At 45.3% G+C, this 22,700-nt stretch overlaps 1 pseudogene, besides 2 other annotated features; it reads right to left on the bottom strand.

Moving 5' to 3' along the window:
• LOC100421842 (eukaryotic translation elongation factor 1 alpha 2 pseudogene) lies at positions 330 to 883 on the bottom strand (annotated as a pseudogene).
• Positions 21,207 to 21,763: an enhancer, noted in NCBI's record as "H3K4me1 hESC enhancer chr1:228891179-228891735 (GRCh37/hg19 assembly coordinates)". NCBI's record gives its function as "activates a minimal SCP1, AML or CMV promoter by ChIP-STARR-seq in naive H9 embryonic stem cells {active_cell/tissue: H9 hESC(naive)}" and the evidence as "EXISTENCE:reporter gene assay evidence [ECO:0000049][PMID:30033119]".
• Positions 21,764 to 22,321: an enhancer, noted in NCBI's record as "H3K4me1 hESC enhancer chr1:228890621-228891178 (GRCh37/hg19 assembly coordinates)". NCBI's record gives its function as "activates a minimal SCP1, AML or CMV promoter by ChIP-STARR-seq in naive H9 embryonic stem cells {active_cell/tissue: H9 hESC(naive)}" and the evidence as "EXISTENCE:reporter gene assay evidence [ECO:0000049][PMID:30033119]".

Here is a 22,700-nt window from a genome sequence, read left to right as displayed (position 1 = left end):
TCTTTATCCTACAGTATTTCTTTTTAATTTTTTTCCACATTAAATTTTGTTTTAATGGGCTGAAAATTCTGAGGCCAATTTTTGGTCACGTTGTTTCCATTTTAAAACATCTATTTTGAAATCTAAAAATTTAATATTACTGTGAAACAACTAGTCCACAAAACATTCTTTTCCTTTTGAAGCTTTTATGGTCCATTGTACCAGTAGCCGATGTTTTACCCTTGAACACAAATGACTCAAATTGTCCATCAGGACAAATGGTGCCGAGTCAATTCTGGGTCAGATTGAGACTAGGGCACAGATGTGGGATGGAATATTCTTTTAACCTCAGATTTCTGGATGGACATTTTGTCTTGCTGCCTCCATCAGCCTTCTTGTTAACTGTCTTCATGACACCCACAGCTGCAGACTCTGTCATATCTTGACAGCAAAACTATCTCAGGTCTGAGAAGCTCTTTATACTTGTGACCCTGGCAGGAACCACACCAACTGCAATATCATCACCAGACTTCCAGATGTTGTGCCTTTTCCAGCTTCTTGCCACATCAAACTTCTCCTTGCAAACAACGGAGCAGTGTGGCCACTCAGCCTGGGGGTTGGCCAACTCTGATTAGGCCTGGATGGCCCAGGGTTCTCATCTATGCAGCAAAGTTGGAAGCTTCCACAGCAGGGAGAAGCCATTCCTTCTGCAATGAACATCGCTGATGGACAGGTTTCTGATGCTGAAGTCTATGCTGTCATGAGGCAGAACTTTGCTGTAAGCAAAGCATTTCAATAGAAGTTGCCTCGGTCGTTGTTTTGACTTGGAAAAAGTGACCACCAGATCTGCACCTAGAGTACCAGTCACCACTTGACCCATGGGGACAGCACCAATTGTCCTGGAGGAGTGGACACCTCTGTCCTGTCGGTTTCACGCAGTCGGTTTCACGCAGTCGGTGGTGCACTCCCACAGCACCAGCATTCTCATGGTGATGTTAGCACACAGCTCCCGCATTTTGTCACCTGAAAGTGATGCCAATGCTACTGTGTGGGTTATGGTAACTTTTTTTTTTTTTTTTTTTGAGGCAGAGTCTCACTCTGTTGCCCAGGCTGGAGTGCAGTGACGCAATCTCGCTCACTGCAACCTCCATCTCCCGGATTCAAGCAATTCTCCTGCCTCAGCCTCCTGAGTAGCTGGGATTACAGGTGCATGCCATCATGCCCAGCAAATTTTTGTATTTTTAGTAGAGACAGGGTTTTATCATGTTGACCAGGCTGGTCTTGAAATCCTAGCCTCAAGTGATCCACCTGCTTTGGCCTCCCAAAGTGCTGGCATTCCAGGCGTGAGCCACCGTGCCGGGCCCTATGGCAACTTTTTAAAAACATACATGGGACTGCTTTGGTGGCTTCCTCATGTTTCTCCTGGCTCAGTGGAATCTGCTTTCTAACACCAGCAATGAATTGTTTCACACCCAAGATGTAAGACAAAGAGCACACTCTAGGTCTGCTAATGCTTTGCATTACCTGCTGCAAATTCTTCAGTGCCACAGCCACAATCAGGAGGGCCGGCCCCAGATGTGCGTGTGCTCATGTTTCGGGTAAAGTCTCTTCCGTATAGTGTTCTGAGATGTGGTAGGCCAAATAACAGCCCCCAGAGATGTCCATGCCCTGGTCCCTGGAACCCTTTACGTAATACAACAAAGGGTGCTTTGCAGATGTGGTTAAGGTTATAGATCTCAAGATGGGGCAATTATCCAGAATTAACTAGGAGGGCACAATCTATGAGCTCTTAAAAGTAGAGAACTGGCTGATGTCAGAGAGATGAGAAGACAGGAGAGATTCAAATCATGAGAGGGACTCCACTCACTGTTGCTCGCTTTGAAGATGGAGAAAGAGGCTAGAGTCAGGGAATGCGGGGGTGGCCTCTAGAAGCTGGGAATGACCCCGCTGATGTCAGCAAGGAAATAGGGACCTCAGTCCTACAATCACAGAGAACTGAATTCCACCAACAATCTGAATGCTCAAGGAAACAGATTCTCCCCTCTTGAGCCTCCAGAAAGGAATGCAGTCCTGCTGACACCTTGAGTGTAGTCCAGTAAGACCCATGGAGAACACATTTCAGATATCACATCTGTAGCTGGGCCCAGTGGCTCGTACCTGTAGTCCCAGCTCCTGAGGCAGGCGTTAGGGAAGAGGGGCTGAGGCAGGCAGGAGGATCACTTGAGCCCAGGAGTTTAAGTCCAGCCTGAGCAACATAGAAAGACCCTGTCCCTAAAATAAGAAAAAAAAACCACACACACAAAAGATAATACATTTGTGTTGTTTTAAGCCACGAAATTTGTGGTATTTTGTTACAGAAGTGATAGTGTGTCCGGAATTGGTGGGTTCTTGGTCTCACTGACTTCAAGAATGAAGCCGCGGACCCTCGCCGTGAGTGTTACAGTTCTTAAAGGCGGCGTGTCTGGAGTTTGTTCCTTCTGATGTTCAGATGTGTTCGGAGTTTCTTCCTCCTGGTGGGTTCGTGGTCTCGCTGGCTCAGGAGTGAAACTGCAGACCTTCACAGTGAGTGTTACAGCTCATAAAAGCAGTGTGGACCCAAAGAGTGAGCAGTAGCAAGATTTACTGCAAAAAGCAAAAGAACAAAGCTTCCCCAGTGTGGAAAGCGATCTGAGTGGGTTGCCACTGCTGGCGCCTGCAGCCTGCTTTTATTCTCTTATCTGGCCCCACCCACATCCTGCTGATTGGCAGAGCCCAGTGGTCTGTTTTGACAGGGCGCTGATTGGTGCATTTACAATCCCTGAGCTAGATACAAAGGTTCTCCACGTCCCCATTAGATTAGTTAGATACAGAGTATGGACACAAAGGTTCTCCAAGGCCCCACCAGCGCAGCTAGATACAGAGTGTCCATTGGTGCACTCACAAACCCTGAGCTAAACACAGGGTGCTGATTGGTGTGTTTACAAACCTTGAGCTAGATACAGAGTGCCGATTGGTGTATTTACAATCCCTGAGCTAGACATAAAGGTTCTCCACGTCCCCACCAGACTCAGGAGCCCAGCTGGCTTCACCCAGTGGATCCCGCACCGGGGCTGCAGGTGGAGCTGCCTGCCAGTCCCACGCCATGCGCTCGCACTCCTCAGCCCTTGGGTAGTCGATGGGACTGGGCGCCGTGGAGCAGGGGGCGCCGCTCATCGGGGAGGCTCGGGCTGCACAGGAGCCCACGGAGGCGGGGGAAGGCTCAGACATGGCGGGCTGCAGTCCCGAGGCCTGCCCCGTGGGAAGGCAGCTAAGGCCCAGCGAGAAATCGGGTGCAGCGTCAGCGGGCTGGCACTGCTGGGGGACCCAGTACACCCTCCGCAGCCACTGGCCCGGGTGCTAAGTCCCTCATTGCCCGGGCCGGCAGGGCCGGCTGGCTGCTCCCAGTGCAGGGCCCGCCAAGCCCACGCCCACCCGGAACTCCAGCTGGCCCGCAAGCGCCGCGTGCCGCCCAGGTTCCCGCTCGCACCTTTCCCTCCACACCTCCCTGCAAGCTGAGGGAGCCGGCTCTGGCCTTGGCCAGCCCAGAAAGGGGCTCCCACAGTGCAGCGGTGGGCTGAAGGGCTCCTCAAGTGCCGCCAAAGTGGGAGCCCAGGCAGAGGAGGCGCCAAGAGCAAGCGAGGGCTGTGAGGACTGCCAGCACACTGTCACCTCTCAATAGGAGACGAATAATACACAAGGCATCCATGGTGGTCGCTGAGTACTTGCTGGTCTCAGACTCCCACATGGAGCCATCGGTGGGGATCCATGTTCCTGTTTAGCTGTTAATTTATGAACCAAGTGTGTTTGGAAGCCCTTTGCACATGAGGGTTTATGAGGACCCTCCCGGGTTTAACTGGCTTTTAAAAACTACAGACCTCTGATCTGGGTTTTCTCCTTACTAATCAGAGTACAGGATTCTGTGTGCCTTTCGCTTCTCCTCTATACTAGACTCAGCATCAAGAGGGCTCTGGCTTTGTCCATCTCCCCTGATTTTACCCACACATTACAATGGGTGAGCCCTGCCAGCAGGCAGTGAGGTGCAGGGGAGGGGAAGGGAGGGCACTGGACCCTCTTTAGAAGACAGGTGGGTCAAAAGCACTTAGTTCTCCAAGACCCACAGCATCTCAGGGGGTGGGGCCCTCACATCCCCCAAGCCTCCTTCACAGGTTGTTGTCAGGAAATTAAACGAGATCATTTATGTAAACATTCTCTCTCTCTAGCTTTCTCACTCTCTTGCTCTCTCTCGCCCTCTCTGTCTTGTGTGTGTGTGTGTGTGTGTGTGTGTGAATTCTCTTTTTATTTGTTTAAATTTTTAATGAAATGCAAACTATTTACAAAAAAAGTATACAACTTGCAATGACCTATTTCAGAGTGAATAAACTCAGTATCAAAAATAGAACATCTTCAGCACCCCCAGATGGCCCTTTCCTGCCCCCACATCACTACCCCCAACTCTAACCGCTATAACCACCCCCATCATTACTCCCAATTATAACCACTATAACCACCCCCCATCACTACCCCCGACTATAACCACTCTGGTCTTCTAATGCCACAGATTGGTTTTGTCTGTTTTTGTTTTGTTTTGTTTAGATAACTATTACATAAATAGAATAATAACATATAATCTTCTGGGCCTGGATTCTTTTGCTCAACTTCATGTTTGTGAGGTACATCCATGTTGTTGTGCATATCTGTCATTATTCTGAATGTTTTAAATACAAAACAATAGATAAAATTGGGCTTTCACTATACAGTTCAAATGCCATTTAGGATAATAATTTCTTCCACTTATCTTAAAAGCTACCAGCAGGAGCAATGAATTGTTTGTGTTTTAAACATATTCATGTAATAGATCTAAAATTCTTTACTTTCTGCAAAAGAAATGGCAAGGGAACCATGATTTGTCTGTATCATCATAGCCTGTCAAGTTCTCCAGGTGCCTAATGGGCTTTGTCTGAATGTCTCTTGCCTGCTTCCCTCCCACAAGTCCTGGGGAGGGCCCCTTTGCTCCAGGCAGTCCCTCCCACAAAGAAGCATCCCTGATTACCCTAAGAACAGACAGGAGAACCATAACAGTATCCAATCTTAGATGCTGTTTTTAATCTATATTTATATAGCTGCGAAAATTAGCAGGGCCATGCCATCCATCTCCAAGGGAAATATAAAGATTAAACCGAATAGGAACAGTGTAACTACCTGCTCACATCAGAGTCTACCATCCAGTATAGTTATGAGGTCACTAAAATTAATGAAACTTTTCTTTAGCTAATGAAATAGCCTGTGGCGAGATCAAATACCAATGAAATTTATTAACTTCTAATCTAGGGAGCGGGAGAGCCAAATCAAATTTTACATGCTAATGTTTTCTGAAACAAAGCAAAATCAAAAGCCTCAGCAAAAAGAAATGAGACATTTGGAAGCTTATCAGTAGGCTGCCAACATTGCCTTTCTCTTTTTTTTTTTTTTTTTTTGAGACGGAGTCTCGTTCTGTTGCCCAGGCTGGAGTGCAGTGGCGCAATCTTGGCTCGCTGCAAGCTCCGCCTCCCGGGTTCACGCCATTCTCTGCCTCAGCCTCCTGAGTAGCTGGGACTACAGGCGCCCGCCACCACGCCCTGCTAATTTTTTGTATTTGTAGTAGAGACGAGGTTTCACTGTGTTAGCCAGGATGGTCTCCATCTCCTGACCTCGTGATCCACCCATCTTGGCCTCCCAAAGTGCTGGGATTACAGGCATGAGCCACCGCGCCCGGCCTGCCTTTCTCTTTACCCTCACATCATGCACTGTGCCTAACTGTTGTACCTTGTCGTGTTCTGTGTTAGGAAAGGAATCCCACGGACACTATAAAAAATTCTGTAAAGGAGTAAAGTGCCTAGGACAGATATAATTATTACCTAGCTGGCAATTCATGAGAATAGCAGACAGGTTTTCAGCAGAGAGAAGGCAGATTGATGGCAGCTTGGATGAGCGCAATTCACAGATGCTGTGTTGGATATCCAGGAGCAGGACGCCGGCAGCCAGCACTTTCCCCAAACATTTGTTACTTCATTACCTAATTTCTACTCACCTTTTATTATATTTGCTCTAGAAGTCAATGCACTCTTGTAGCAATGACTCCAACTCAGTGACTCTTTTGTAAAACAAATTCCAATCAGTGGCAATATTTGAAGAAATGAGAATGTAATGATACTGACTACAGACCTGACACTAGAGAAACACGAGACTCTCTCCCAGGGGCATAGCAACACACACTGGGGCCCGCTGGTCCCACAAACTGGTAATTTAGCCCAGCAGATGCAACAAGGCCACTTGGAAACACCAAACTGCATGATCTTGGCTCCTGGCCCAGCTGCTAATTTGTTGAAGGCAGAAGTGACCCTGCGAGCCATTCAAAGGTGTATGTTACTTTGAGAGGAGAAGTGGAAATATAGACTATAAACTGCTCCAAGAAAAAAAAATCAGATGAGAGAGAAGGAAAACTTCTATGCTGTGACAGTTTATTTGTAAACAAAACATCTAAACATATGACTCTGGGAGCTCCCTTTCTTGTGGATCTCAACCACAGATAGTGTACAAGAGATAAGTATATTTTGGAGTTAAAACTGACAGCTTCCATCTCACACCTTTGGACCTCTTTTTATTATTGTTTTCCATTCCAGAATGTTCATGGTAATTTGAATGAACATGGGTTCTGGCTTTCAGATTTTGATTTCTGATGTCTGCCACCATCCCTCCTGAGCACTGTCACCAGATTCCTCTGTGGAGAACAAGGCAACCTGCACCCTTCCACTGACACAGTGGAATCTCTCCACTCGGAGAAGCGCAAGCTTCTCTGCCAAGCACACAGGACCCTTCGCAACCCAACACCACATCTCCCTCCAGTTTCCTTAGTACACCCTCACATAAACCCTTTAGCCTAGCCAGCCAGGCCCCTTGCTGTGTCCCCTGCAGATCATGCATGGTTCTAGGTCTGTTCCATTCCACCCTCCTCACTAGCCTCAATTCTACTGCGTTCTGATAACCTTTTGTAACGCAGATGTTATTCTCTCTGTCCACGGCGCTCCTGGGGCCAGGCAGGCAGTGTAGAAGCATGATACACAAAAAAGGACTTTGTGTTTTAGGGTGTTCCAGGGATCAGACTGGACCAAGGGAGACAGTCACCCAGGATGAGTAAAGAAAAAAATCGAAATCCTAGCCAACGAGTCACACGAGGGCACAGGAGTCTGAGAAGTGGCACTAAGCTTCAGGTCCAAAGGGTGGAAGAAGGCACAGCCACAAATCCCCTAGACACACGGTGGGACTGCACACTGCCACCGTCTGCCACATGGGTTAGGTGTGGCCACAGGTCAATGAAATTGGAAGTGGTAATCCTGAATAAATATTATTTCTCTTTGCTGTTTTGCTTTGTTTTACAGAATATTGGTGCATACCATTTCACTTGATTTCCTTTCTCCGTCTAACTACAGTTGAAAAATTTATTTAGTATTTGGTCACTCCTGGCCACAAGGTATAGACTTCCTTTATTTTCATAATCTCATGATATTGAGTGACAGTATTTGAGAGGAAGAATCTGGTGTGAGCAAGGAGCTCCGAGTTCTTGGGTTAATTCTGTGAGTGGAAATGGCATGCACCTCTTTTTTGTTTAATTTATATAAACACTTTTCTTAAGAATACTTTGATTTGAAGAAAAGTTGCGAGGATAGCATATGGAGTTTCCACATGCCCCTCCCCCAGTTTCTCCTACTAGTAACACCTTACATTTTCTGGCTACCTTTGTCATAGTTAAGGAACCAACTTTGGTGCATTAACTAAAGTGCACATGTTACTCAGATTTCACTAGGTTTCCCCTAAGGTCCGTTTTCTGTCCGGGGTCCCATCCAGGACATCACATTGCATTTGTTTGTCATCTTTTTTTTTAGCCTCCTCTGGGCTGTGGCAGTTTCTCAGACTTTCCTCATTTTCGATGACTTTGACAGTTTTGAGGAATCCAGGGCAGGTATTTTGTAGAATATACTTCAATTTGCGTTTGTCTGATGTTTTCACCATGATTATCAGACTGAGGGTATGGGGTTGGGGTGGGAAGACCACAGAGGAGAGACGCCCTTCTCATCACATCCCATTAAGATCCTGCTACCAATATGTCTCATCACAGATGCGTGTAGACCTTGGTCACTGGGCCGACGTGGTGTTTGCCTGGCTTCCCCATTGCGAAGGCCCCCCGCTTTATGAGGGGAGTACAGTAGGGCACAGCGCATTCTGAGGGCTGGACAGTTAACCCATGCTGCCTTTGTATCTGTCATCTGGAATCCTTCCACACAGGAGGTGTGTCTCTCGGCGCTTGGGCCTCTCTGGGATGAAAGTTTTAAGTGCACACGAAGGCTTTGCCAAGCTCTCTCTTCCTGATGCCATGATGACTATGAACAGCAGCTCCGTGGCCTGGATCCAGAGGGAGGACAATGACACCGTGATGTATAATGTGAACAAGAAATAAATCTTTACTGTTTGAGCCATTGAGACTTTGGGATATTTTTTATGGCACCATAACTTACCTTCTCCAAGGAAGGGTAAAGCAAGGTTATATTCTCAAGGGCAGTAGTCAGGAGGGTGGGGGCCATGAAAGGGACAGTGTGTCTATTAATGGTTTACGACTAACGCTGGAACACAGCCATACGTGGGAGGTCTGCTCTGATATGACGTGGCCTCCACAGACTGGGGTCCAGATGGCACTAAACCCTCTTCCAGAGTGCAGCTTCTCCTTCCAGATCTCTCCTAATCACTGCAACACACATTAGTTTTATCACACTTCAAATCTAAAATAAAATCATCTCCCCTCAATCATAGCCAGTGCCTCCTCCTGACTTTGTATTTCTGCCCCTGGTGCAGTTATCTTCCCTTTCCTGGCTTAAAATCTTAGTGTGATTGTTGAGCACAGCTTCTGCTGTGGTCAATCATTTCTAGAGATTCCACCCACAATGTGACATTGGCACTCACCTTTTCATTCCCATGCCCCCCTCTCTCGAGCTCAGAGCCTCCTCCCCTTCTGTCTACACCACGGTGACAGATCCTGACTAATCTCCTGCTCTCTCTTCACCCTTCTCTTCTCCTCCAGGTATCTGTTTCTAAACTGAAGACCAGATCAGTTCTTTTTTCTATGTAAACTACCTTCTTGTTCTACCACTGGTCTTCCATAGTCTGGTCCTTCCTCATCTATCTGTCCAGTCTTATTTCCCATGAGTCTTTCACCTCAATTCCACACGTCAGATATCCCTGTTAGATCTGTTTTCCACGTACTTGCGATTCTTTGTAATAGAGTTACTCTTCCTGTTCTGCCTTAACCTCTTGTCTCCTTCTCCAAGTGGCAAGTTCTGGCACCTCTTCAAGATCCGGCTCAAATGTCATCTCCTCTATGAAATCTTTACTGACTTGTCCTATTCCAGGCAAAATTAATCATTCCTTCTTCCTTTTTCAATTTAGAAAAAATCACATTCATTCTTTAATGTTTGACTCAAGAAAGACCTCTTATGTTCCTTCTTTCTGTATTAGTTTGACAGGGCTGCCATAATAAACACCACTGACTTGGTGGCTTAAACAACAAAAATGTATTCCTCACAGTCCTCGAGGCTAGAAGTGTGAGATCAAGGCGTTGGCAGGTTTGGTTTTTTTCTGAGACCTCCCTCCTTGGTTTGCAGATGGTCACCTTCTCCTGTGTCCTTACATGGTCTTCCCTCCATGTGTGTCTGTGTCCTAATCTCCCCTTCTTACCAGTCCTACTAGATCAGGAGCTACCCATATGACCTCATTTTACCTTAATTACCTCTTTAAAAATCCTGTTTCCAAATAGAGTCATACTCTGAGGTACTGGTGGTTAGGACTTCAATGTATGAATTTTGAGGGTGCACAATTCAGCCCAAAACATCTTCCTTCCTTCCTTTTCTCCTTCTCCTCCTTATCCTTCTTCTCTTTCTCCTTCTCTCTCTCTCCCCCTTTTTCTCTTTCTTTTATATAAAAAAGATAAATTGATCCCTGAACTTTCAGCAGGAATAAAGAGCAGTAAAGACTTGGCCCTCGTCCTCAAGCAGTATCTAGTCTCTCACAGGGGACAGACATGGGACCGAATAAGCCCAAGCTCCCTTCAGAAGAAGCCAACAGCCTCTGTGGCACTCTCTCAGGGCCCCATGCCCCAGGTTCCAGTGCAGATCCAAGCATTGTACTAGAGTGCCTCGTCTAGCTTCCTGTCACAGGGAGAAATTGTGAGCTTCTGAGGTCAGGGCCACCTTAGTCATCTCCAAATTTACAGTGCCTTGAAATGTACCTGGTACATAATAAATGATAAACAAATATTGGTTGAATTGAACCCAAATAAATTGATATTATATTTTTACTCCTGAAGGGTTTTTTGCTGATGGATTAACTTTTTCATCAGACTTAAACAAGGGACAAGTTTCTTTGTTAAAGTCAGCAGCTCGAAAGTGATCAGTTAGATGGCATTTTGCAATTCTTTTTCTTTTTTTTAGAAACAGAGTCTCACTCTGTTGCCCAGGCTAGAGTGCATGGCTCACTGCAGCCTTGACCTCCTGGACTCAAGTGATCCTTCTGCCTCAGTCTCCCAAAATAGCTGGGACTACAGGTGTGTGCCACCATGCCCAGATAGTTTTTTTTTTTTTTTAATTTTTTATAGAAACAGGGTCTTGCTATGTTCCCCAGGCTGGACTTGAACTCCTGGGCTCAACTGATCCTCCTGCCTCAGCCTCCCAAAATGCTAAGATTACAGGCATGAACCACCCGTAATTTGCTTTTTAAACTGATAAAAATATAAATTAATATCTTTGAAAAGGCAATGTTTCTACAATTTTTTTGGGAAAATGACTTCTGAGTTTCCTTCTATTTAGGAATCTCTCAGGTCTTTCCCACTGCAATAAGTTGTGTATATAAAAATTATAACTGCAATAACAAATTAATATTAGTTGCATTTTGATGTGAACCAAAAATAAAAATAAGCCTCATACTATGTGAAGGTGATAAGCAAGGAGAATCTTACAAAGACTTGAAAATATTTTGAGAAAATAAAAACTGCAAAATTAGAAGCATTCAACTTAATTATTACATAAAGTTTAAACAACTAATGAGTAGTGTTAATGGTCCGTTCTAGTTTAAGGTTACTGGTGACAGTATTTGTAACTGGCTGTTGGGTCACGTGAATGATCTACCATAATTGGCAGACAGAAAGTCCCACTTTCCTTTTACTTTGGAGACTAATGGTAATTTTCCCCCAGCCTCATCTCTATCTCCTGTCTTGGAGTGAGGTTCTGTAGAAGGTCTGCGTGTGACCGCTTGTGGCTGTCGGTGCCTTGCTGTAGCCTTCGAGGTGGAACCCAAGCTGGGCGCTGCAGGAGAGGAAACAAGGCCTCACTGAGGGGCAGAAACCAGGAAGCTGGGCCAGCCACGCCCTGAAGACTCTGCTCCTCTCTGTAGAAGTAGAGACCAGGTGTGACTTCCCATGGGGTGGGGGTGGTGAGAGTTGAGACAAACTGTCCCTGAAAGTGAAGAGGCCCCAGGCGGAGCACCTTGCACTCTGGAAGAGTGACACAGGACCCACTGGAACTAAAACTGTAATGTGATGAGATGTTGTCAAAGCAAAGTAACAACAACAATAAAAATACTAGTAGGCACTTACATAGCACTATGAGCCGGTGTTCTGGCAGATTTACTTATATATTAATACATTATGAACTATGTTTTTGTTTAATAGGACACACTTATCAGTTGCAAAAGACTACTAATGCCTACATTTTTCTGGCAAGATGTCATTTTCCATTAAGGCTCTATAAGGCTGGGTGTAGTGGCTCACATCTGTAATCCCAGCACTTTGGGAGGCTAAGGCAGGAAGATCATGAGCTCAGGAGTTAGAGACCAGCCTAGGCAACACAGCAGGATACTGTCTCTACAAAAAAATCAAAAAATTAGCAGGTCATGGTGGCTCCTGTAGTGGCAGCTACTCTGGAGACTGAGGTGGGAGGATCACTTGAGCCCGAGAAGTCAAGGCTGCACTGAACTATGATGGTGCCACTGCACTCCAGCCTGGTTGACTAAGCAAGATAGTGTTTCAAAAAAAAAAAAAAGAGAGAGAGAGAGATAGAAAGAAAAGGCTCCTTTAAATCCAGCCTTCAGCAGATGAGGGGGCTAAAACGGGCATGCCTTATATTAAGAGGGCTATTAGGGATTGCCCAGAAAATCTTTTTTTTTAAGCTGTTTTTGCCACATAATTAAGCTCATAAAATTTTCTTTAAAGAACCAAATAGGTTATATAACCAAAAGCCAAAGTCAAGTGATTCTTATGAGCAAACAACATATAGTTAATCCACAAAATTATTTTGGGACCTCACACTGTTATAAAGTTTTTCCTTACACAGAAACAAAAGCTTCTTCCCATAACATCCTTCTTTATTCTTTATATCTCTTTCGACAGCTCGAAGTGTGTTTGGTCCTCTGAGAAATCTCTGACCAAATGCAGCAGTCATTTGCCCTGGGTGGTGCCTTTCCTCTTTACTAAACCTAATCAATTCTTCTAACTCTTAATTATGTGAAATGTATATAGAGTATATGTTTATATAAAATATATGTATAGAAATGTGTACTGTGTAGTTTAGCAGTGGATGCTGTTTGCATGGTTACACAAGTACATGATGCATTGATAATTCATACACAAGAAGTTCTTTTGGGATGGACTCTGGTAGGCGGAATGGGAATACGCTATACAGCTGATCTTTGAACAACAGGGGTTTGAACTGCATAGGTCCACTTACACACAGATTTTTTTCTATACGAATTACACAGACTGCACTGGCCTCTCCTGCCTCCCCTTCCACCTCCATCACCTCTTCTGCTTCTGCCACCCCTGAGACATCAAGACCAATCCCTCTTCTTCCTCCTCCTCCTCAGCCTACTCAACATCAAGGCGAAGAAAAGGAAGACCTTTATGATGATCCACTTCCACTTAATAAATAATAAATATATTTTCTCTTCCTTTTGATTTTCTTAATAATATTTTCTTTTCTCTGGCTTACTTTATTGTAAGAATACCATATATAATACATATAACATACAAAATATATGTTAATTGGTAAGGCTTCTGGTCAACAGTAGGCTATTAGTAGTTAAGTTTTGGGGCAGTCATACATGGATTTTCCACTGCGTGGGGGTGTTGGTCTCCAAACCCCACATTGTTTAGGGGTCAACTGTACTGGCAGTGCTGGCCTGTTTTCTCCTTGGGGTACAGTCAGCATGCATGTCATTATAGTTTTACTTTCTCCCAAGTGTATTTCATTGCTTCAGTTTTTTGTCTTTGGTTTGAATTTCTTTTTTCATCAGAATTTATAGACCATCTGCAAAGCAGTAACTTTGGAGGGATTACAATGCTTCTATCAGTCAGCATCCCAGCTGGAAAGAGATGACGCACTCAAAGGGGTCACTGAACGGACTTAAATTGACAGACTATCTAGAGAAACCAGCACAGGATTGAGGAGACTGACAAGCTATGGTAAAGCCCCAGGAATCAGCAACAAGGGAGGCCTTTATCACCCGTCAGCCTGTTGGGAAGTGGCAGGCAGGGGACAAATATGAGAACTCAGAGATCTGGCTGTGAAGAGGGGCTGCTTGCAGGATCTGAGACTCTAGAAGAGAAACAGATTTCTCTTAGGGAAGGAGCAGGCAAGAAACCCCCAACCTCTCTCCACCTTTTCCATCTCCCCAGTTCCTGCTGCAGACCAAACCTTGTGAAAAGCAGAAATCTAAAAGATGAAGGGGGAAGAAGTTAGTCTTCCAGGCCACACAGCAGGGTCAGTAGGGGTCTGGAGGGGCAAAGAGAAAATCCAGGTCTGCACAAAATGCAACGAGAGAAGCATAGTTTCTCAGAGAGCGGGCACTGTGCACTCTGCATCTTTTCATGACCGTATCTAGTGTCTAGTGCAGGGCTTGACACCCATGACATTCTCAACAAGGGTCTTACTGAATCCGCGAACAGATCAGAAGTCAGTTGTTCCTGAAATAGAAGGCATTGTAACTGACAACAGAATACAAATGAACTGTGGCTTTTTAAAACAACCACATATTACTATTATCTAAAACTTACTCTTCTAAACAATGTCTTTATTAATCAGCTAATATTAAAGGAGAATCTGATAACTCTGATTTTTCTTTCCATCAACCTGTCCTTAAGCTGCACACAGAAAACTGTCTTCAGAAGGGAGTTTCTGATGTTGTTAAGCACCTAAAATTTGTGTAAGCAAATAAAAGAGCAAAGCCCTCCTAAATAGAGTATCAAGTTTGCAAGACTTGGCCACGGGAGGCCAATTCCAGTTCTAGTTCTGATTCTACTGCTTGTGCTCCCTGGAGTAGGTTACCTATACTCTGCATGCCTCCATTTCTTCAGCAAAAATAGGAGTAATAGCAGTACCTGTCTCTTAGACACTCATTTCTATTAACTGTCCTGCCTTCACCAAACGCTATTATATAGCACACTGCATGTTTCAGTCAGTCAATAACTTCTATTGCTTCCAACAACTCAAAATATCTTGTTTTAATCTGTCATTGTTGGTTCTCTCTAATTGATCCCCTTGCCTGGTTACTAGAATCTACCTTTCTGTCTAGCTTACATGAACTGACACTTTGGCTCTGTTCTTTAGTTTTGGAGATTGTGATTAAAATAGGGATGCCAGATAGAAAACAGAATTTTAAAATATAAATAAAGACAGGTAATACAAAGATAAAATACAAAGTAAAAAAACTTTGAATTTCAGAGAGACAACTGATAATTTTTTTAGTATACCTATATCCCAAATATTGCATGGCAACCCTAGATTGGAGGGCACCTCTGGAATCACCCTTAAGTTCAGGATTCAGCACCTCTCAGCTCATCCCATGCCACGTTCTCACCCTTTCCTAGAGCAGCCCTGGGTCTTGAGTACAAATTCAACAACTTAGCTCTTCTTGGAGGGATGTTTAAGTAAATACTGCCCCTGGGAAGTAAGTGATCATTTCCCCTTACTTGAGCCTTGGCATAGATCTACAACACTAGGATACCTATGCCAAGGCTCAAGTGAGGGGAAATGATCACAATACCATAGATATCCTGGTTCTCAATATTGGATGTGTAGTAATAGCAGGATATACTGTATGAAAACCAGTGGCGTGATTCAGATTTAATGGTCACCTTTTGCTCTCTGAGGATCTATCAGAATTCCATCTTCGATGTCCTGAGAGAGAAGCTTCCTCTCCCATCTCTTTTCAAAAAAATGGGCTCTGTTTGCTTTGTAAATGTATGAAAAAAGGGCCAGTCTTCCAGTTTCGGGTCCGATAAGGACTGTTGAAATCTGAAAGGCCTTGGCCAGGTTAATGACATGGAATTCTGAAGACACTACCTAGAATCTTATCAAATTCAAAGCTAACTATAAATTGTTATTGCTTTCTAAAATCCAAGTATAAGCCTAAGTGCCTTTGAGGGAGAATGGGTCTGTCCACCTGGAGGAGAATGGAGGTAGATGCTGCCGTGCGCCCCACAAATCCAGTGGGACAGTTCCTGGCTGACATACGGGAACTCACTGTTTTCATCTTCATTAGCCATAGAAATCTGCCCTAACTGACTGCATAAAGGCGATTGAGCTGGTTAGCAAATTCAAATTCAATAAGGCATCTGGGGAAGATACTTTCTGCCACTCAAAGCTGTTTTTGAAGTTGTGGGCTCTAATTCTTATCACTGTTAACTCTGCAGGAATAATTTTACCAATCTTATTGCAAAATGTAGCCCATCCTTTTTTTTTTAAGGGTAATCCCTTACTCCCTCCTCCCCGACCCTCTCAGTTCAGACTCTTCCTCTGTGTTTACTTTCTGAATGTTAATAGGAGTTGGATTGTTGAGGCCAATATTCTGACTGCAGTGGCCATGAAGATAACTGGTCCTTCTACAACCAGACATTGTTATGACCTCTGTCACATAATAATGTGATTAGTCCAAAAGTCCGTCTCCCCTCCCTCCCCCTGCCCTACCCACAAACACTGTGACCAGAGCGAAAATCCCTACGTTCTTTGGATAAGCTGAATGCACACCCTCTATGCCTTTTTTTTTTTTTTTTTAAACGGAGTTTCGCTCTTGTTTCCCAGGCTAGAGTGCAATGGCGCGATCTCGGCTCACTGCAACCTCTACCTCCCAGGTTCAAGTGATTCTCCTGCCTCAGCCTCCCGAGTAGCTGGGATTACAGGCATGCACCACCATGCCTGGTGAATTTTGTATTTTTAGTAGAGACGGGGTGTCTCCATGTTAGTCAGGCTGATCTCGAACTCCTGACCTCAGGTGATCCACCCGCCTCAGCCTCCCAAAGTGCTGGGATTACAGCAGTGAGCCACCGTGCCAGGCCCATGCCCTCTATTTTTTAAAGAATATAAGACAAGTTTCTAATCTCCATTGACAATCATTTCATTTCATCCATTTCATCCATTCAAATCCCCTGGCTCTGCCATTTTTCTAGCCATTAGTTGAACTTGGACAAGTAACTTAACCTCTTGAGTTTTCTCGATTTTCAAATGTAGAAAAAAAAATTAACTTAGAGTAGCCTTAAGGCTTAAATAAAATTATTTTAAACACTGTCAAGCACATACTGGAGGCTAATACCCAATCATGGTTGTCACCGCTGAGCTGTGAACTCACTCAGTTGGGATGGCAGCCCCATCTCCCTCTAGGGAAGAGCTTGCAGCCCAGGTGGGAGGAGAAGATGGCTGCCAGGCAGCCATGTGAGCTGAGGCCATGCTCTTCCCAGCCAGGTAGCCCCCAGCCAGTCACCTAGCAGTGCAAAGTACTAGGGCTTGGTTACCCCTGCCCAATGTGGGACTTCTCTGAAAGGCAGCCTGGCTCTGGACTTCTCCTTGGATTGATAAGAGACTCCCACATGCGTTACCACCAGAGGTTGCCCTGTCCAGCCTACTTCCTTCCCTTTATCTTCCCCAGACATCACACCCCTCTATAAACCTTTTACACCCCTAACTCCATCTCTTTGCCCACTCCCTAGAGAACTCCACAGTGAGGAAGTTTCCCCAATGTATATCACTCTCAAATACAGGTTCACTTGGTGATGGTGCCCAGCACTTCTGGGAAGGAAATAAAGACAATTGGATTGGATTACAGTTGGCCTTGGAACAACACAGTTTTCAATTTCGAGGATTCACTTATACTTGAATCTTCCTTCACCTTTGCCATCCCTGAGACAGCAAGAACAATCCCTTCTCTTCTTCCTCCCTTCATCCTACTCATTATGAAGACAATGAGGATGAAGACCTTTATGGTGATCCACTTCCATTTAATGAATAGTAAATATATTTTCTCTTCCTTATGATTTTCTCAATGACATTTTCTTTTCTCTAGCTTATTTTATTATAAGAATATAATATCTGATATATACAGCATACCAAATATATGTTAATCAACTGTTTATGTTATCAGCAAGGCTTCTGGTCAACTGTAGGCTATTAGTAGCTTTTTTGAGGGGTCAGTAGTTATACGTGACTATTGCGGGGGAAGCAGTGCCTCTAATCCCAGCATGGTTCAAGGGTCAACTGTACTGTTAACAAAGGAAAGACCTACCTACCTATCCGAGAGAGAGAAAAAAAGAAAAGACATTTTAGAAGACAACAACATGGGAGAAAGGCGGTGCCCTGCTCCAGGGTCTGCCCCTGGAGGTCTTCTGGCTATGGAAGACCTGAGAGAGTCTCTGCTGAAGCAATATTGCTTCATCTGTGGATTGCACCCCATGCCTAGCTAGAATTCTAAACTGATTTGAACTAAGCCCATGACTCCACACCCTAGACAGCTTTAAGCCTCTGAATTTCCAGTATCTGGCAAGTTTTCAGAAACCTGGTAATCATGTCAACTATTCACAAACATGAGAGTTTTTTAGGAAGGATTTTTTTTCCATTGAGGAAGCAAAGGCATAGAGAGGTTGAGTATCCTGTCCAAGTCCTATAGCAATTAAGTGGTAGAGCCATGGGTTTGAAATTTGTGTCTGAGCTCTAACCACTCGTACATCATCTCCCTATACAGGCATTTAGACCCTATCTAAATCTCTGATGCGCAAAACAGTAGGAAGAAACCAAAACCAATGTGGAAGTGAGCAACTGCAATGCAAAACTACTGCATCTTACTGATCTTGATGTTGATAAAGTCACAAACTGTAGCCTATCATTCTGGGACTGCACTTTCCCCTCACTTCAGCAGCTCTGCCCATCATCAGCTACATCCAGCATGCTCTGTACAGGCATCATACAGGCACAGGGCCTTTTGATCTTGTGAACTTGTGGAGTCACAGGTATCCTGACTCTCATATCCATCTTGAAACTGTCTGCAGAGACAAGTTCGGCCAGAATCACCTCACGATTTGACAGGCCAGCAGAGATGCTCTTTGCCACTGCTCAGCAGATCAAGCTGAAGGGTCAGGACCCATCTCCTGCTAGCTGCCCACTCTGCTGCCAACCACCACACTGTCACAGAATGTTCTGCTTCTGACAGTCCATTTCTCCACAATGACCGAGAGCTGGAACTTCTGCTCCCATCTGGGCAGCAGAGCTACGTGGCTCTTGCATAATTAGTTCAGCTCTTGGAAAACTGTTTACTGAATATTTTGCCAGCTCTACATGGAATTGAAGCTGTGCTTTATTCTCAGCCTAACCACAGCTTAACAGGTCACAAACCTTAAGGGTGTGCAAATCTGTGCTCCCTTCACTCTGGTGAGTGCTTTCTCCCCTGCTCAGGGCTTCTGAGAAGCCGTGCCCAGGAAAAGCTTAGCCTCATGAAACAGAGTCTCACAAAATTCACCTGCCCAAAGGTCACCATGTCTATGCAGAAGCCAGCCTCGACTTGAATTTCTTATAATATTGGAAATAAGGAAATGGGGTCTGATAAAATGTCCGATGTTTGTGAATTGTTTGTACAATATAATTGACACCTACTATGGATGGACAGGGCAGTGGGGACCTCAGTTGTGTGGGGGAGCCACTTCCTTCAGGCCCTGGGAGCACTGGAGATGGGAAGGAGGGTCAGCAGGAGCTGTTTGTGACAAAATCACTTCACAGAACATGGAAAGGGAAGCCACCTCTAGCTGTTCTGTCTTTTTCTCCAGGGATCCTGGCAAAATGTGGGGTGAAAAGAAGAGGCCACCTGCTTGAAGGTCTCCCAGGAATGCCTCCAAGACCTAAATGCAGATTCTGGAGCATCCCCTCGGATTAATGGGGTCTCCTATAACCACTGCCCACTTGCCATTGGGCTCAGCAGGGTCCGGCTCTCTAGGGTAATGCCAACCCTGATCTTTCCCTGCTCCCCAAGACCCCATAGGCTGCTCTTGCTACCTACTTAGGACTCCAAGCCTGAGACAAAGCCTTTTTTTCTTCAAGAGAAGGTTCTTAATTTCTAAAGAAAGCCTTTCTACACAGGTTTTCCCTGTATATAAGCAGAATAACTTTTAAATGCCAAGAAAAGGGAGAATTTGAGAGATAACATAGCAGAAATTGAGTACATTTTGCCTCTAGAATAAATATGAATGACTTTATCTGTTTATGTAAATATCTGGAACAACAGGTCTGTGGTGGGTGCTGATGATTGGTCTGCTCCATTCCTCTGAAGGATCTTCAAGTACAGGAGAGTCTGGAAGACTAAAAGATGCATTTCCTAGGTTCCCTTGCAGCCAGGATGCTCTAGGGAGATCTTGGGATTTGAAAGGCAGTTGAAGCAGAAACAGTTTCAAGATTCTGGCTCCAATGGCTCCCTAAAGAAGAACCCATTCTGTAAAGTTCTGAGAGTAAGTCCTGAAAGTCCAGACTAGTACTCACTCCTCCAACCCTCCTAATTATTGTGTGAGCACCTAGTTCCCTGTATTAAATATCTTTCCGCTTAAGATACCTAAAGTGGTTTCGTTTCCTGCACCAAACTATGACTGATATAAATCCTTTGTCTGAGATCCATTTGGTTTGAGGTTTCTTTTTGTTTGTTTGTTTTTGTTTTTAGTAGAGACAGGGTTTTCACCATGTTGGCCAGGCTGGTCTCAAACTCCTGATCTCAGATTATCTGCCCATCTCAGCCTCCCAAAGTGCTAGGATTATGGGTGTGAACCACTGTACGCAGCCTAGTCTGAGTTTAATAATGTTTTTGATCTTTCCTCACTTATTCTAATTTTTACCTCTTGACTTGTTTTTGATGTTCTCTTCTATGCTGCTTCTCATTTTATTTACCCCTCTTTAGCATATAACTGCAGCCATAATAATCTAGAGGAAAAGGCATACATTTTAGAGTCAAATAGATCTCATTTTAAAGTCCTGCTCTTTCACGTATAATCTGTGTCACTACAGATAAAGTTTTTAAAGTCTGCAGCCTCTGTTTTCTGATCTCTTAAACATGTCCAGGAATATCTTTCTTATCAGGTGTGATGCAGTTTAGGTGAGAGGTCCTGGGGGCCCCCAGCAGGACACACAGCAGGACTGAACAAATCTCAGTTTATTCACCTCCTCCTCCTCCTCCCTACACAAAGAATTCTTAGAGTGATCTTCACGCATCATTGATAATCAGTTCCAGTGCTGGGGACGGCCACTCTCCAGACCAGGAAGACAAGCCCAAGCCCCTCTCCATAGCTGGGATGAGTGAGAGCTCAGTGGAGGGTCCTTCCCATCCCCATGACCATGGACTGAACGACACACACGTCAGCCCCAGAGTCATCTCCCCCAGAGCTTCAAGGTCAAACAGCATTTACTGTGTGCCCTTCAGAAATAAATATAAACTCCCATCCCTGAGGATCTGGACACAAAGGCTTGACCACTCCTAATCTTCCTGGAGTCCATGTGTACAGTGCCCAAGTCATTTCTCTCTCTCTCTCTCTCTCTCTCTCTCCTTAGATATCTCTTTCCTTCTCTCTTTCTTTTTTATCCATTTCTGCATTTTCTCACTCTCCATGTCTGCTCATTATTTTGTTTCTCACATCTCTCTTTTCCTCCACCTACAGGGTGTTTGGCCCTATTCTATTTGAAACCTCTCTGTTTCACTTTCTGTCATTCTTTCTCCCCAAATTTTGACTATCCCCTAACTGCATGTATTCCTGCATCTTTCTCCCCATCCCTGTCCCCTCATCTCCTCCCCGCTGACTCTCCCTGTCACAACCCCCTTCCTGAGCTATGGCTCCTTCCACTTACTAAGTCCCTTCCCTGTCACATTGCTCTTTTTTGCTCCTGGCACCAGGTCTTTCTGCCTTTTGTGGTCCCAGTTCTTTTATTCCCCTCACTCTATCTGATGTATCTCCCTTTTCCACACCACTTCTGCTACCCCTAGTCAAGGTACCCCCTCCCTGCTTTGCTCCCCGTCGTCTCTGGAGAGCCCTTTTCAATCCATGTGCTCTTCTGCTGCATCTCCTGCTAGTTCACCCTTTTTCTCTACTGCTAGTCTCTAAGTCCAACCTGTCCTCTATTTTGTATCTCATTCTTCTCCTTCCAGACTTTCTAGCTGTCCCTCAGTCTGTCGGTTTCTGTCCCCAACCCAGCCCCGTGCACATTCACAGATATGGGGGAAAAGACGCCCCTGCCTGGAAGAACAGTTCCAGTGGTGCTGCGAAGGCGAACGCACCGCAGCCAGCCCAGCCAGAGGAAGCGATCTGTGCAAAAGAAACACTGAGGTCACGGAACAGGTGCAGGTCACCTCCTTCAGCACGAGGGTTGGGGGGTCTCCCAAGGCAATGAGTGCTGTGTGGAGAACTGGGGAGGAGCACGGGTTGACCTGGGAGGTCACGAGGAGCAGGGAGTCTCAAGAGATGGCGCGGTCCCCAGAATTCCGGGGTCAGGATGAAGACGCAGCATCCGGGGCTGCACTGGGTTGGGGGAGGTGGAGGGAGCGCAAAACACTTGAACCCACCGCCGACTTTACCCCATGCAGTTATGTGAGGTGATAGAGGGGGACGGGAGTCACCCAAAAGGAAAACGACGCGGCAGGCGGTGTCTACCTGGACCTCCCTCAGACAGGCTGGGGGAGCAGACTGGCTCAGAGCGATTTTAACCCAAAATAAACGCAGACCAGGCGGGCGACCGGGCCTCGGAAAACCTCATAGCCACGCAGGATTCCCCGCCGGCCGGGTGAGCGGGCCAAGAAACTTCAACACACGCGCTGGCTCCTGAACCCCGGCTGCGACGGATCAGGGGCCTGAGGGGTCGCAAAGCACAGATTTGAACCAGAAAGATGGAGCCTTACTCTCTCCACTCTGCCCTTGCTCTGCTTGACATCTGCCCAGTTCATTCTGAGCCTCCTGCGAACAGCGGCGATAATAAATCTTTAATTCTTTATCCCCAAGCCCCCGGGGGAATCTGGAACATAGTAAGGCCTCAGCATGAAATAAAGCCACCTCCCTGAGCCCTTTTCCCCGAGGACAGGCACACCCACTCAGAGTTTGCAGATTCTGAAGACTTGGAGCCCAGGCACCTTTACCTACAAGCTGTTGGCTCCATTTGCATGTCATCTCCAAGATAATTTCCTTACAGTGCTTTTCCAAAAGCAGCTTTTACACATCCTGATCGTGTTCCTGAAACACCCCTGTTATTGCTTCTGTCACCGTGGTCAGTGGATCCTTTGAAGCAAAAATCTGCTTAAAATCAAATTACTCCATATCTTAGGAAATAAAAATGTAGACAGAAATG

This window comes from Homo sapiens, chromosome 1 (genome assembly GCF_000001405.40).
Source record: "Homo sapiens chromosome 1, GRCh38.p14 Primary Assembly".
Classification (NCBI taxonomy): domain Eukaryota; kingdom Metazoa; phylum Chordata; class Mammalia; order Primates; family Hominidae; genus Homo; species Homo sapiens.
The sequence above is the reverse complement of the archived record's forward strand: the minus strand, read 5'-3'. Positions and strand labels throughout refer to the sequence as shown.